Genomic DNA, 17,606 nt, shown 5'->3' on the forward strand with positions numbered 1-17,606 from the left:
CTAACACGGTGAAACCCCGTCTTTACTAAAAATACAAAAAATTAGCCAGGTGTGGTGGCGGGCGCCTGTAGTTCCAGCTACTCGGGAGGCTGAGGCACGAGAATGGCATGAACCCAGGAGGCGGAGCTTGCAGTGAGCCGAGATCGTGCCACTGCACTCCAGCCTGGGCGACAGAGCGAGACTCCGTCTCAAAAAAACAAACAAGCAAACAAACAAACACCTATCCAAACATAAACATCCATTATTTGTGACTCTGTCATCCAAAGTGCCCATTGCTATTTTTTGTGTAGCTTAAAATTTTGACTAAAAAAGATAACTTCATACCCCTTATCTGTCCCTAAGTAGGATTTTTAGGTCTGGTATTTGAGTAACATATGTTTCTACTTTGTGAATTAGTGATACGGTTTGGCTGTGTCCCCACCCAAATCTCATCTTGAATTGTAGTTCTCATAATTCCCACCGTGTCATGGGAGGGAACCTGTGGGAGGTAACTGAATCATGTGGGCAGATCTTTCTCATGCTGTTCTCATGATAGTGAATAAGTCTCACGAGAGCTGATGGTTTTATAAAGGGGAGTTTCCCTGCACAGGTTCTCTTGCATGCTGCCATGTAAGACGTGTCTTGATTCTCCTTCACCTTCTGCTATCATTGTGAGGCCTCCCCAGCCATGTGGAACTGTGAATCCATTAAGCCTTTTTTCTTTATAAATTACCCAGTCTTGGGTATATCTTTATTAGCAGCATGAGAACAGACTAATACAATTAGATTTTTGTTTGTTTGTTAACAACAACAAAGAAAGGCTGACATGCTTACAGGCCTGTTTTCAGGATACTTAAAAGTGAATTTTCAGTATTTTCAGGTTTTCAAAACTTAATGTAAAGGGAACAGCAAAGGTATTTAATTTTAACTCTGTAGAATGTCATTTTGTGTCCCCAAAGTTTTCTAATTTTATTGCTTTATAAAATTCAGGTTTTCAAAATAATCTCAGAGGAGCTAGTCTTCTACGTTACTGACTTTGGGAATGAAATAGTAAATAGCCTTTATTTGTAGCCCTATTTGAAAATAATTTAAAAGTGCTTTCTTAAAACCCTTATCTGCAATGATTATTGTACACATCATGACTGAAGTTTAAGTGTGGCTCACACATACATGCTTAGTTGAGCATGTTTACAAGTAACTTTGGGGTACAATTTGGAGGCCTTTTTAAAATGTGGGATCTTAGAGACCAAGTTAGGCACCAATGTAACTCTTGGGACTTTAAGGTTAAAACAAAACAGCCTATAACAGTAAAAACAATAGTTTTGTACTTTAGGAGCTACATGCACAAAGCAGGCAACATGGATCATCTCTGAAAAGAGGCAGCCTCACGATATATATCTCATAACAGAAACACTGCAAATGGATCATATTTTGTGAGTAATTAACAAGGTATCAAAATAATGTCATACAAGTGAAGAAAATCACACTTGCATCACAGTTGAGCTGACAGCTCTTGTCACTCACAGTGTGGGCCCATGGGACATTACCCCTTAACTCAGAGAGAGCTGAGCTCCCTGGCTAGTTAGCTGAGCAACTTGGGATTATATTAAGTGAGCAAATGGCCAGAAACCTTCCCAACTACCCTTCCCACGACTACAGAGTGGGGTTCTGGAGCTGGTGTTGAGATATAAATGCAGTCCCAGCTGTGTGCCAAGAATTCAAATCTCAAGGTCAAGAATGAGAGGTACTTGACAAATTCTTGCACTTCATATACTCCTCATCTTTGAATTAATTCATTTTTCCTACAAATCAACAGAATGTTCACAGGGGGAAATTATTCCATGCTGAATAAATACAGTCCATATGAATGAACTTTTCATTTAGTAGTAATTACGTTTTTTTAGTATGTCACTAACTATGAGTTATAAATTAAAACCTGTTTAGCCAGAGAGGATAATTTTACAGTTAATGTTTAAAACAGAATTGACTAACTGAATTTACTCCATGAAGAAGGCAGGTTTTGAAAGTTCTACCAGATGCAGATATAACTTTTTTTTTTTTTTTTTTTGAGAAGAGTCTGGCTCTGTCACCCAGGCTGGAGTGCAGTGGCACGATCTCATTCACTGCAAGCTCCGCCTCCACGGTTCACGCCATTCTCCTGCCTCAGCCTGCCGAGTAGCTGGAACTACAGGCGCCCGCCACCATGCCTGGCTAATTTTTTGCATTTTTAGTAGAGACGGGGTTTCACCATGTTAGCCAGGATGGTCTCGATCTCCTGACCTCATGATCCGCTCTCCTCGGCCTCCCAAAGAGCTGGGATTACAGGCGTGAGCCACGGCGCCGGGCCAGATTATCACTTTTTAATTTTTAAATCTGTAGCATTTATTTATTCACTGAAAGTAAATACCAAATGTACTAGGGCAAACTGTATGTAGAAATATTATTTTTCCAGGTGTGACCCTATGATTCTTCTCAGCCAAAATCTTTGTAAAATTATGGCACAGCTAGCATAACTGTGGTTGTAATACTTATTTGAATTAAATGTTTTTCTTGTCTAACCTCCATATTTCATTATGTCCTTCTGCACACATCTTCATCCATCTTTATGATTCAAACTTTTCTAGCAGAAATTACTTTTTATTTTCTCTGCAGAACATGTGGGGTTGGGTGGCTGATGAATAGTAACCTGGCAAATTCCTCTGCCTGGAAAAACATCATCCAACTGATGGGTGTGGGGTTGCAAAAGCGAGCTTGATAACTATTAGCTGAGCAACTTGGGATCATATTAAGGTAAAATTCATAAGGTGTATGTCTTCTAATAAAATACTATCATTTAAAAAATGCTATTTATTCCATTAGAGATGCAGTTTTTGTTTTTGTTTTTTTTTTTGAGACGCAGTCTCGCTCTGTCGCCCAGGCTGGAGTGCAGTGGCGCGATCTCTGCTCACTGCAAGCTCCACCTCCCGGGTTCACGCCATTCTCCTGCCTCAGCCTCCCCAGTAGCTGGGACTACAGGTGGCCGCCACCACGCCTGGCTAATTTTTTTTTTTTTGTATTTTTAGTAGAGACGGGGTTTCACCATGTTAGCCAGGATGAAGTTGATCTCCTGATCTCGTGATCCGCCAGCCTCAGCCGCATTACAGGTGTGAGCCACCGCGCCCGGCCAAGATGAAGTTTTCTAATCCTCATAGTAATTATGACTATTTCATTCCCTCTCGAAAGATAACAACAACAAAAAAGAGAACGGAATGCCTTTTTCCAGCTGTCTACATTTGCTTTCTTCAACTTTGAAAACAGGCAAGCTAAAGTGACCTAGGATGGCCCTTACCTGTCTGTGATGCCGCAGGAGTCTATCTGGAGGTCCCTGAAACTCCCCAGCGCCCCCTGCTGTACTAAGATGGGATCCACCGCTTTGTCACCAATGGTGATGAGCCTTAGGCAGCCCTGAAACCCTCCCAGGGGGCTTTTACATCCAGAGCCAGAGCTGTTGTCCAGGCAGCCTAAATATGAAGACAAAAATAGGACAAAAGCAACAACTATGACAAAACTATTCCACAGTATTTACTATATGAAGACTGCTGCTCCCGCTTGTTTATGGACATCGGTATGATGCGATGAGCTTCACCATTCATTAGAGAGGTGAGAAGGGGCAAGGTTAGAACTGATCAAATTTAAGATAATACCTGGAATTCAGAATAAGAAATTATGGGGGAAAATTCAGATCTAAAATTCCTATAACAGGAATTATTTCCCAACCAAGTGAAAAGAGGTTTGGCTTCTTTTGTGAAATCTCATCTAAGAAATAATCATGCATTTTAGCATTATGTAGTGTAAGTGAAAAAAATTAAAGTGGAGGTTAAATTAAAATAAATGAAATCATAGGCCAAATTTTATTTAGGATATGCTGTGAAATGTGAAAAATGCTACCTGAAAATATAATTGTGTACTACCATTTATCTAAAATATGTTAAATATCTACCCTATAGGTGTTTTTGTGTGTTGCGATGTATGTATATTTGGGAGTATTTAAAAACGTATTTTTTTATACTGACTGGGTGGAAATACCTAGATTTGCTTTTCTAGTAACACTTTCTTTGGTATTAGGTACTTTAGTCAAATATATAACTAAAGATTAAATTCTAATGTTAACAACAACACAAAAAGTAACAGGACCTAACACACTGTTAGGGTACATAAGGATAAAAATTTGCAGTCCAGAATGTTCTATGAATAGAAAGAGATAAAATAGACATTTGATTATTTCCAATATTAGAAGTTAAATATTAAAAGTTTCACTACAACCGTCAGCTAATTTCACCTAAATTACAAATGGCAATGCTTATGACATCACTTCCCTTTACTATGTGGGCTTGTTTTGTGAAACAAGAACAGTACTTATAAGAAGCAGTGGTGAGTGCCTGACTTTGACGTAAGCAGTATTACTCCACACCAGTCCAAGCATATAGGAAAGTAGTGTCTTGAACTTACTCCCACCCTCTGAGTTACAATATATAACCTAATAATGGAACTGTAAGTTTGAAAAGTAAGGAAAAGGATGAAAGTACACACTCTAGTTAAAGAAAACACAATAACTGTAAAATCTTTTTATTTAAAGACAACTGTTTGTAGAAAGAGTCATATTAATTCAGAATAAAATCATAAGGCATTTGTCTAAGTCAGGAGTCTGCAAAGGTTTTCTGTAAAACGCAGATAGTAAACACTTTTGGTTTTGTGGGTCACACCTGGTTTCTGTTGCATGTCCTTCTTGTTATAACCCTTTAAAAATACAAAGCAGGGCTGGGCGCGGTGGCTCATGCCTGTAAACCCAGCACTTTGGGAGGCCAAGGCGGGCGGATCATGACGTCAGGAGATCGAGACCATCCTGGCTAATTCGGTGAAACCCCGTCTCTACTAAAAATACAAAAAAAAATTAGCTGGGCGTGGTGGTGGGTGCCTGTAGTCCCAGTTACTCGGGAAACTGAGGCAGGAGAATGGCGTGAACCCAGCAGGCGGAGCTTGCAGTGAGCCGAGATGGCGCCACTGCACTCCAGCCTGGGCAACAGAGCGAGACTTCTTCTCAAATAAAAAAAAATAAATAAATAAAAATACAAAGCAATTATTCATTTCGGCTTATATAATATGCCATAGACCGTGATTTGTCTACCTCTGATCTAAATGAATACTTAATTTTAACATACAAATATGAAAGAGGCACCTCATTTCATAATGGTGTAATGCCAATGACAAGAGAAATTGAATAACTAAATTGTATATTATGAAATTATATAGCTTTTAAAAATTTTATCCTTTGCCTTATTTTAAAAAAGAAGCCTGCTTATATTGATTCTGTAAGTATTGTCTCTTTCAAACTTGTGAGATATAATTTCTTACTTTCTTTTCCCAATCATTCAAATATTAGGTATTAAACCTAATATTGGCATGACACTTTGAGTCCACGCAAATACCCTTTTCTCCAAAGATTATAGTAAATATACATCAATATTTATCACTAGAGGATTGAGTTTTCTTTACAGTGTTCACTAAAATGAAAAAAATGAAGTATAGAATTTGTACTTATGTGTTTTTCATTGACCTCTCTTTGACCTTATACTGTTAATCACTAGCACAATTTCAAAAAATAGTCAATGAAGATTCCTCTTACTGGAATAAATGAAGCACCCCTCAATGCCTGTACTCTTATTTCCTCCCTGAAAGTTCCATAAAAATTAAATGTTGTGTTTAGATTTCTATTTTAATAACTGAAGCTTTATCTCTTTAACTTTAATATTTTCTGCTTTAGATTTCTAAAGTAAAAGCCTCCCTCATATTTAAGGCTTCTTTTTAGCTTATCGAAACTATACATAACCTCACAGACACTTGGAAGTTTAACATTTAACACCATATTTGTTTAAAAGTTTGAAGACTAAAATCTTTTATATTTTTATATTTACAAAAGAAATATAAGTTTAAATGGTACAGCAGAACCTTCTGAAGAATGGGATAGAGAGTGAACTTTGTATAATTCTGCATCTCACTAATCATTAAGAAATAAACACATTAAGTTAAGAATTAAGAGGATTATTAATTCAATAAATATTTTCCAGTAATGAATTATAGGAATATCAACAGTTCTGCTAATCTTTCTTTCACCATGTGGTGTTTCCTGACACATAACTTAGGTTATCTTTTTTTTTTGAGACCTGAGTCTCGTGCTGTCGCCTAGGCTGCAGTGCAGTGGTGTGATCTCTGCTCACTGCAAGCTCCACCACCCAGGTTCACAGCATTCTCCTGCCTCAGCCTCCCGAGTGGCTGGGACTACAGGCACGCGCCACCACACCCTGCTAATTTTTTTTTTTTTGTATTTTTTTTCAGTAGAGACGGGGTTTCACCATATTAGCCAGGATGGTCTTGATCTCCTGACCTCGTGATCCACCTGCCTCGGCCTCCCAAAGTGCTGGGATTACAGGTGTAAGCCACAGCGCCCAGCCAGGTTATTCTTAAAAGAAAATGAATTCAATAACTCTGTTAGAAAAAAAAAACTAAAATCCAGGTGTCCCACAAAAAGTTATGAAACTTTCAGGACAAATTCTAATCATAAAGTACTGCATGGATATGAAATCAAACAAATAAAGATATTAAGACCCATGAAAATTTTAGCCCGGTTATTTTAACTTGTGTAAGCATATGAGGTTGGCAAGAAAATTGTCACTGTGTGTTATTGCAGTGACAGACTTCAATGCAATGTTGCCACAAGTTCTCAGTCTAGCAGCTTCCTACAAGAAGGATGTGAGGACTGGCGACACAACAGTCAATTTTGTATTCTCAATATCATGGAAGGAGGCATGGCATTGAATAGCAGAAAGATTCCATAAAGGTAAGTTTAAAAGAATTTGACCTTCAGTCAATCTCTATTTCAGGCATGAATGCAAAAAAATGCAGGCTATATGCACAACCTGCAACCGTACAGAGTGCTGCTTGAAAAACACTTCAAAAAGATGAAATCACAGACCAGAAAAAAAAGAATGGACAAATGACAGTACAGAAGGTAAGTCTGCATCTGCGAATTAGACTTTCTCTTTCTTTCTCTCTCTCTCTCTTTCTTGACAGAGTCTCACTCTGTTGCCAGGCTGGAGTGCAGTGGCACCATCTCGGTTCACTGCAACCTTTGCCTTCCAGGTTCAAGCAATTCTCCTGCCTCAGCCTACCCAGTAGCTGGGACTACAGGCTCCCGCCACCATGCCCAGCTAATCTTTGTATTTTTAGTAGAGACAAGGTTGCACCATGTTGGCCAGGCTGGTCTTGAATTACTAACCTCAGATGATCCACCCGCCTCAGCCTCTCAAAGTGCTGGGATTACAGGTGAGAGCCACCGCGTCTGGCCTAAACTTTCTATTAAAATAAATCTAGTGAGATCCAGAAATCCACATCCACCAGTGATTGTTCCAAGTCTCTCAAGGTTTCTTTGGTGCAAATAACATTTTCCATTTATCTGGCATCAGGAAATTGGTGGGTTTTTCTTCTTCTTCATTTCTTCATATTAACCTGGCTACCCATGGGTAGAGTCAGCAGGGCAACATTAAATAGAAAAAAAAAAAAGATGCCCCCATACGATGGCCTGAGAGTGGAGACCAGTGACTCAAAAGCAGAAGGCTGGTTCCAAAACATCAAACTTCTGCAGTCTCAGCTTCAGGTGAGGAAGGCAGCTCTCACTCAGGGAAAGAGCCAAAGTTAGAAACAGTGCAGCTCTTGCCAGTCATTGACCTAAGGCCAGGCGGCTCCTCAGATGACCTGCAAATTGGGGACACACCACGGCATGCAGCAGCTGGGCTGAAGGATCCTGCTCCCAGTGGATTTTTGCAGGGGACGTTCTGATTCCCTTAGCTGACGAATATGATCCTATGTTCCCTTATGATTATGAGAAAGTAGTGAAGTGCCAGAGAGAGGAACGACAGACACAGCAGGAGCTAGAAATATGAAAGGAAATAGAAGAAAGGGAAAAGAGGCCTGAAGACAGGCAAGAAGTTAGGGGAGTTCTGATCAAGGCGACCAAATCCAGATTCTGATGAAGGGGAAGATTAGGAGGGAGAGAGGAGGAAAAGTAGTAGGGTGGAGCTGCCATTGCCCTTCCCACTTCTCTGGTAGAGAAAGACCAAGAGTCACCCCGAGATTTTCCTTATGAAGAGGATTCAAGACCTCAGTCATGGTCTTCCAAAGCAGCCATTCCTCCCCCAGTGAAGGAGGAACAGGACAGACTGAGATCTCCAAACCGGCCTAGCAGCTCCTTCCTCGCTAACGTGGTGGGAACGGTGGCGCACAACATCATGCAGAAGCGCGGCTTCCGGGAAGGCCGGGGCCTCGGGGAGCACCTGCAGGGGCTGCGAGATGCCTTTCCGGTGGGGAAGACTAGCAGATCAGGCGGCAAGATCATCGTGGGCGACGCCGCAGAGAAAGATGCATTGAAGGATCAGGTACAAATCCACTGACTGAAATACTTGAGTCCTACTAAGGTGGTCCTACTAAGGAACATGGTTGGTGAAGGGGAGGTGGAAGAAGACTTGGAAGTTGAAACCAGAGAAGAATGTGTGATGACATATTTTTCAGTTGATATGGTTTCCTATGAGACATAGCATCATTAAGGATAAAATAAGTGAAACTGAAAAGAGTATAGTTAATCTAGTTTTCATAATGAGTTCATTCTGTTATGTTTCTTTTTCTTTTCCATTGTCAATTTATATTGGCTCAGAGAAAACAGGCTTGATGGATAAAGTCCATGGTATTTCCCAATTTTGCCATGAAAAATATGGCAAAGTTGGAAAACGTGTGATATGTGAAATTCTTGGTGTCCCTGATGATGAAGCAGTACAGACCTTTTTAGAATTTGAGAGTTGAGTCAGCAATTAAAGCTGTTGTTCACTTGAATAGAAGGTATTTTGGTGGACAGGTGGCAAGAGGATGTTTTTACATTTGTACAAATTCAGCATCTTGGATTTGGTGGAACAAGTTTGATTTTAAGAACTAGAGCATGAGTCATCTCTGGTGACCCTTAAATGACCAGCAGGCTGAGAAAAGAAGGAAAAAGGTCACAGCCTCCATGGCTGTTAGATACTGAGACTCTTGGAAGGACCTCCAAGGTATACGTTGATTGATCCCTTTTCATTTTGTGGTTTTTAAATATTGTATAAAAATCCAAATCCTTTTTAATAAATAAATAAAATGTGCAGCTGACTAGTTTCAATCATTGGTAGATATTATACTGTAGGAATGAAGTTAGTGTCTGCAGCTGTACATATTCAGGCCATTCTAAATATATAAGCTAGTTAGGAAGAAAATACTGTGGATTTTATCCATCAAGCCTGTTTTCTTCAGGCCAGTATAAAACAAATGGAAAGGAAAAAGAAACATAATGAAACGAACTCATTATTAAAACTGGATTACAGGATTAATTTTAATGTTTTCAGTTTCACTTATTTGACTCTTAGTGATGCTATGTGTCATAGGAAACCATATGAACAGAAATATCCCAAGAAGTAAATTTGCTTAGAAAACAGAAAAGGGCTTATTAGTCTCTTTCAGTGCACTGCACAGCATTCAAGAAGAATTTGGGTCATGTGGTCTTTAAATTACTAAAACGAGTAATGAATACTAGCGGAACCAAAGGCTGTTTCTATGTGAAGAAATGATCTATTTTGGGTTTACATACATCAGTAAAATTTAACAACCAGCTTATGCTGTTAAACATGGTGGTTAGAGCTGGTGTTTCCCGAAGTTTACTATACAGATGGGTAAATAAAGTTACAAAAGCACACACAAGGAATGCAAAATTCACTGGAAAAACTAGGTATGTTAAGAATATTTTAAAAACTAAATTTTAGGCTGGGCATGGTGGCTCATGCCTGTAATCCTGGCACTTTGGGAGGCTGAGGTGGGTGGATCACCTCAGACCAACCTGAACAACATGGCAAAACTCTGTCTCTACAAAATACGAAGAAAAACAACAACAACAAAAATTAGCTGGGTGTGGTGGTGCAGGCCTGCAGTCCCAGCTACTCCAGAGGCTGAGGTGGAAGAAGTGCTTGAGCTTGGAGAGGCAGAAGCTGCAGTGAGCTGTGATTGCTTCATTGCACTCCAGCCTGGGCAACAGAGTGACTCCCTGTCTAAAAAAAAGCAAAACAACGAAACACCACCCCCCTAAATTTTATAAAGCAAATCTAAAAGCAAAAATGAAAATTGCCTAACAATAGCAAAATGGGACAGTAGAACTGATAAAATGTGGTATATTCATGTAACAATATATACATTCTTTTGAAAAATTAGCAATATTTTTAACTGTACATATATGATCTATTTCACAGTAAAAATGAATAAAATTATGATATGCATAAAAATAACACAAAAACATTTCTCACATTAGCATGTATATATTTATGGAAATGGGCTCTTGAATAACAGGACGTTATAAAATCTCACCTGTAGAATTTAAACCCTAAAGGTGATACTATATTTATACTTTGACAAATCATTTTCTGTAATCAACTTTATTTAGTATCACTTAAAAAAATGAATAGTACTTTCATTCTTATCCCTTTTAGTGCTTCCTAAATATTTTACTTTTGAAATGATAGGTCTTGGATATATTGGCTTGTTTTTTGTTATAAAATCTGTCATCTATAGCAAATGTTTTAATACAATTTGAGGCACATATGCACACCTCGGAATATGAGGAAAGAAAACAATCAGAAACTTTGCAGATTGACATTGTCTGTTTTCACAGTTGCTCTGTGGAAAGTTTGCTCTGAAGGACTGTTAGAGTTTAGAAAATGAGTTTTATAATTTCCATGCTGACAGCCAATTTTAGGGATGAATTTTACTTTTTTTTTTGAGACGGAGTCTCACTTTGTCACCCAGGCTGGAGTGCAGTGGCGCAGTCTCAGCTCACTGTATAAGCTCTGCCTCCCAGGTTCATGCCATTCTCTTGCCTCAGCCTCCTGAGAAGCTGGGACTACAGGCGCCCACCACCATGCCCAGCTAATTTTTTTTTTTTTGTATTTTTAGTAGAGACGGGGTTTCACCATGTTAGCCACGATGGTCTCAATCTCTTGACCTTGTGATCCACCCGCCTAGGCCTCCCAAAGTGCTGGGATTACAGGCGTGAGCCACTGTGCCTGGCCGAATTTTACTTTCATATTGTGCTGTCTCCAACATAATTTTAAAAGGATTCTGGAAAAAAAAATAGTAAAATGCAAAACTATACTAATACTCTCAAGAAGCACCTCAAGCATTGATTAGCAAATGTATCTTATTATTTACAGAGTTAAATGACATTTCTAATGACCAAGGACTTTCTGAGTAAACATCCCTGGGGAGAAGATTTATTGCACCCTTCTGTGACCTCCCCACTCTGACTGCCCTCTCTTAGGCTGCAGTGTCTCTTGGCTGTACTCAATCATTGACTGAGCTGGCAAATATTCTGTTTATTATTGTCTAGGAAAGGCTGATGCGCTCCCTGACTTGGTAAAATGTTTCACTGCATCATTACTGGGCAATAAAAATAAGTTGAAATAACCGACTGAGTAAAACTATTAGGCACTTTGGGCAAAGCATGGCCTTTCTTCATGCCGCAGTGGGAAATCAATAAGATGCTCCAGAGGAGCCGAGTCTCTGGGGATACCTGTATGGTGCAATAAAACCAGCACATAAAGCAGTGGAAAAGGTAACGGCACTCATTTCGCACTGTTAAAATTCCGTTGGGCAGAATGATGAAGGGAAGCTCCATAAAGGGTGGTCTATTTAAAATCGGTTCCTGAGTGTGATCTTTTATTTAGGCCTATCTGGAAGACATGCATTTCAGTCCTTAATCTGTAGTCTTTTTTCAACAACCCCATGAAACAAAAGGGATCCAGCATGGTGATACTGTTTCATGGTGATACAACCCCATGAAACAAAAGGGATCCAGCATGATGATCCAGCATGGTGATACATAATGATACTGTGTTATTTACCTGGAATTTGGTAAGAGAGCAGATTTGTAATGACTTCACTCCCCTCTGCCATCAACATGGTAACTATGTGTGATGTGATGGATGTGTTAATCAACTTGACTGTGGTAATCAGAACGCAGTGAATACCTATATCAAATCGTCACATAGTATACCTTAAATATACAGAATTTTTATTTGTCAAATAAATATTTTAATTTTTTTAAAAAAGGGATTTATGGCAGTGTAGCAGCAGTGGGTGGTAAGGTCTGGGTCAGGTTCAGCCCCAGGTGGGAGGTGGCGTCAGGGAGGAACCCAGTAAACAGCTCTGGCCTTGCAGGTGTAACACTTTAGGCCTCTGTCTTCCTGAGGCGTTGTTCCTGCATGTTGTCCCAGCGTCTTCCCTCTCTGTGTGTCTCTGCACCTCCATTTCCATTTTTCATAAGGACACTGGTCATATTGGATTGGAGCTCACCTTAATGACCTCATTTTAACTTGATTACCTCTGCAAAGATCTTATCTCCAAACAAGGTCACATTCTGGAGTTCATATGAATTTGAGGGAAAACAATTCAATCCATAATATCATCTCTGAAATAAGGACAACTTTACTTATGCATATACAATTTGGGTTGTGGTTGCTGCGTATCTGTTTCAAATGGGTTATGGGCTCTTCTCACACTTTCAGGTCAAAGGGGACTTTGGAATCCATAGTGTACCTATGTATGCATGTATGATCATGGATCAGCCTTCCCATTTCTGTCGCTGTGTCCCTATATGGTTCATGATCATGTATGTTACTTCACTCGAAGGCCATACACAATCCAAACAAAATAAAACACAGAAACTGTGTTGGCTATTTTGACTTTCTGTTGAAACTATTCTCTTTGGTCATATATATATATTTTAAAAATATTATATATATATATATTTTTAAAAAACATTTTATATATATATATATTTTTTTTTCCAGTGATTATCCTGCCTCAGCCTCCCAAGTAGCTGGGATTACAGGCACCTGCCATCATGCCCGGCTAAATTTTTTTTGTGTGTGTATTTTTGTAGATACAGGGTTTCACCATGTTAGCCAGGCTCGTCTTCAACTCCTGATCTCAGGTGATCCGCCGGCCTCAGCCTCCCAGAGTGCTGGGATTACAGGCGTGGGCCACCACGCCTGGAGATAGATAGATAGATAGATAGATAGATAGATAGATAGATAGATATATGTAATCTTTTTCAGTATATTCTCAGGGTGTGTTTGAGGAAAGCTTTTTTTTTTTTTGGCCATTGTCCAAGGGTTTAGAACTGAATGGGAATGTCTGTAAATGGATCTGATGGAGGTTGGAATGTGTATCAGCTTTTAATCATCACTGTAACAAATCACTAAAATATTCTCTTTATTATCTCTCACTTTAGAAGTGTGGGAGGGCTGGACTGATGACTCTGCTTATAGTCCTACAAGGACAAAATCAAGGTGCTCTTGGGCTCCTTATGAAGGCCCTAGGGCAGAATGTGTGTCCAAGCACATACAGGTTAGAGCAGAATTCAACTTCTTGTAGTTGTAGGAGTGAGGTCCCAATTCATCACTGGCTGGTAGTTGGGGCCTCTCAGCAATGTCAGGCTGCCTGCATTGCTCTTCATAGTGCCCAGTTCATTTTCTAAACCAGCAATGGTGCAGAGAGACATTCTCCTGCTTCTAGTTTCTCTGGCTTCCCCTCACCCACACCTCTCTTCTGTGTCTCTTCTGCCTCCAACCAGAGTTAAATCTCTTAAGTGCTCATGTGATTACATGGAGCCCACTGCATGAATCACGATCGTCTCCTAAGGTCTGCAACCTTAATTACATCTGCAAAATCCCTTATGTGATGTAACATATTCAGTTTCCAGGGCATCTTGGAGAGTCATTCTCATTCTTGCTGCCACAAAATATTCCTCATTCCTTCATGAAATGTTGTTTGCTTTCATATATTTGTCTCTAGAGAAGCATCAGGTATTTTCTCAACATCCCTTCATGTTAAAAACCCTCAACAAATGAGGCATTGGAGGACATACTTCAACATAGTAAGAGCCACCTATGACAAACCCACAGCCAGCATCATACTGAATGGGCAAAAGATGTGAAGCATTCCCCTTGAAAACTGGGACAAGACAGGGATACCCTCTCTCATTATTCCTACCCAACATAGTACTGGATGTCCTCGCCCGAGCAATCAGGCAAGAGAGAGAAATAAAAGGCATCTAAATAGGAGAAAAAGAGGTCAAACTGTCTCTGTTTGCAGATGATATGATTCTGTACCTACAAAACCCCATCGTCTCTGCCCAAAAGCTTCTCGATCTGATAATCTCAGCAAAGTTTCAGGATACAAAATTAATGTACAAAAATTAGTAGCATTCCTATATACCAACAACATGCAGGCTGAGAGCCAAATCAAGAATGCAATCCTATTCGCAATGACCACAAAAAGAATAAACTACCTAGGAATACAGCTAACCAGGGAGGTGAATGATCTCTACAAGAAGAATTACAAAACACTGCTCAAAGAAATCATAGATGACATACAAATGGAAAAACATTCCATAATCACGGATAGGAATAATAAATATGGTTTTTAACCATATTGGACCATACTGCCCAAAGCAATTTATAGATTCAATGCTATTCCTATCAAATCACCAATGGCATTCTTCAAAGAACCAGTAAAAACTATTTTAAAATTAATATAGAACCAAAAAAGAGCCTGAATAGCCAAGGGAATCCAAGGCAAAAAGAACAAATCTGGAGGCATTTCGTTAGCCAACTTCAACCTCTACTACAAGGCTATAGTAACCAAAATAGCATAGTACTGGTACAAAAACAGACACACAGACCAATGGAACAGAATAGAGCGCCCAGAAATAATGTCACACACTTAAAACCATTTGATCTTCAACAAAGTCGACAAAAACATGCAGTAGGGAAAGGACTCCCTATTCAATAAATGGTGCTGGGATAACTGGCTAACCATAAGCAGTTCCTAGACCCCTTCCTTACACCATATACAAAAATCAACTCAAGATGGATTAAAGAATAAAATGTAAAACGTGTCAGGTGCAGTGGCTCACGCCTATAATCCCAACACTTTGGGAGGGTGAGGTGGGAGGATAGCTTGAGCCTTGGAGTTTGAGACAAGCCTGGGCAACATAGCGAGACCTCGTCTCTACAAACAATAATAATAATAATAATAATAATAATAATAATAATAATAAATTAGCTGGATGTGGTGGCACGTGCCTGTAGTCCAGGCTAATCAGGAGGCTGAGGTGGGGGAACCTCTTAAAGCCTGGGAGGTTGAGGCTGTATCGTGTCATTGCACTCCAGCCTGGGCAACAGGTGAGACTGACTCTAAAGTCTCAAAAAAAAAAAAAAAAAAGTAAAGCCTATAACTACAAAAATCCTGGAAGATAACCTAGGAAATATAGGAAATGCCATTTTGGACACAGGACATGGCAAAAATTTCATGACAACGACACCGAAAACATTGCAACAAAAACAAAAGTTGACAAATGGGACCTAATTAAACTAAAGGTTTCTGCACAGCAAAAGAAACTATCCACAGAGTAAACAGACAACCTACTGGAAGAAAATATTCACAAATTATGCATCTGACAAAGGTCTAATGTCTGGAATCTATAAGGAACTTAACAAGAAAGAAAAAAAACGTACCCCATTAAAAAACGGGCAAAGGACATGAACAGACACTTTTCAAAAGAAGACATACATGTGGCCAACAAGCATATGAAAAACTCCTCGGCATCACTAGTCATGAGATAAATGCAAATCGAAACCACAATGAGATACCATCTCACGCCAGTCAGAATTGCTATTATTTAAAAGGCGAAAAATAACAGGTGCTGGTAAAGCTGTGGAGAAAAGGGAGTGCTTATACACTGCTGGGGGAATTATACATTAGTTCAGCCATTGCAGCAAGCAGTTTCGTGATTTCTCAAAGAACTTAAAGCAGAGCTGCCACTCAACCCAGCAACCCCATTGAGTACACACCCAAAGGAATAATAATCCTTCTACCATAAAGACACACAGACGTGCATGTTCATTCACAATAGCAATGACATAGAATCAACCTAAATACCCATCAACAGTAGCGTAAAGAAAATGTACATATATACCATGGAATACTATGTAGTCATAAAAAAAGATGAGATAATGTCATTTCTAGCAACATGGATGGAGCTGGAGGCCATTATCCAAAGTGAACTAACACAGGAACAGAAAACCAAATACCATGTATTCTGACTTAGGAGTGGGAGCTTAGTATTGAGTACCCATGACACAAAGAAGGGAACAATAGACACCACAGCCTACTTGAGGGTGGAGGGTAGGAGGAGGGTGAAGATCGAAAAACTACCTACTAGGTACTATGCTCATTACCTGGGTGATGGAATAATCTGTACCCCAAGCCCCCATTACATGCAATTTACCTATATAACAAACCTGCACATGTATACCTCTGAACCTAAAATAAGTTTAAAAAAAAAAGAGAAGCAACACGTATTTTCTGAAGGAAATGGGAATTATATATGAATATACATTGTCAAAGACTATAATGTTTGAGATTTTCTATTGCTTATTTCATTAGTTTCTTTCTGGACCTATTCCATCTGGGCTAGCAGCTCTGAAAACAAAGTAGTGTGGATCAAACTCTGTCATCTGTTTCTGTCACACAGATTACAGCCCTCATCCTGAAGGAGGGACAGATTTCAGTCCCATCCTAATAAAAAAAAAATCTCTGTTCTGTTTACTGTTTTTTTCTACTTGGTTTGGAAAAATTTTGTTAGAGGCAATTGTCGATACCACATATGGCTGACAGCAGGTATAGGAGGTATCCTGGTACTCATACTTGGAAACCCTTAATTTGGCATCATCCTCAGCACATGAAATTTCTCAGATCACTAACAATCTTGGACCGATGATGATTCCTTAAGCCAACTTCGCTCTTCTGAAAAGGTTGGCAGGCATGTCTGCATTTTTCTGAGGACTCCTATGTTATCATCCACTCAAGATACACGAAGGCATTAACTAATTTTAAAAATCTTGGCCTGGCACAGTGGCTCATGTCTGTAATCCCAGAACTTTGGGAGGCCGAGGCAGTCAAATCACAAGGTCAGGAGATCGAGACCATCCTGGCAAACATGGTGAAAACCCCGTCTCTACTAAAAATACAAAAAATTAGCTAGATGTGATGGTGGGTGCCTGTAGTCCCAGCTACTCAGGAGGCTGAGGCAGGAGAATGGCGTGAACCGGGGGGGCAGAGCTTGCAGTGAGCCGAGATCGCGCCACTGCACTCCAGGCTGGGGGACACAGCGAGACTCCGCCTCAAAAAATAAAAATAAATAAATAAATAAAAATCTTAAGCTCTTCAGTTTTACTTTGTGTCTGCTTAGAGGAAAAAAGCATCCAACTACAGATATAAATGTATCCATTAATAAAAGGTAAATGGAGGCACAAAAGTTTATTTGAGCTAACAGTGATTCATGAATCACTGTTGAAGCAGCTTCAAATGGGAACTGGTTCAGGGACCCTTTCAAGGGAACAAAAAGGGACAGCTTCTGTAAGGTAAATATAGTAGCAAATTTTTCACTGGTTGTACTTATACAA

The 17,606-nt window shown here is 39.6% G+C and overlaps 1 protein-coding gene and 1 pseudogene across 2 annotated transcripts in view; one reads left to right on the plus strand and one right to left on the minus strand.

Annotated features, from left to right (window-relative positions):
* Positions 1-17,606, minus strand: part of CNTNAP3 (contactin associated protein family member 3) — a 223,458-nt gene that overhangs the window by 81,789 nt on the left and 124,063 nt on the right. For both annotated transcript variants that reach the window (NM_001393379.1, NM_033655.5), the window contains exon 10: positions 3,308-3,479. In NM_001393379.1, coding sequence (NP_001380308.1) covers positions 3,308-3,479 — 172 coding nt within the window. The remainder of the gene's footprint in view (positions 1-3,307; positions 3,480-17,606) is intronic.
* RBM17P1 (RNA binding motif protein 17 pseudogene 1) lies at positions 7,524-9,210 on the plus strand (annotated as a pseudogene).

Source organism: Homo sapiens, chromosome 9 (assembly GCF_000001405.40).
Source record: "Homo sapiens chromosome 9, GRCh38.p14 Primary Assembly".
In the NCBI taxonomy this organism is placed as follows: domain Eukaryota; kingdom Metazoa; phylum Chordata; class Mammalia; order Primates; family Hominidae; genus Homo; species Homo sapiens.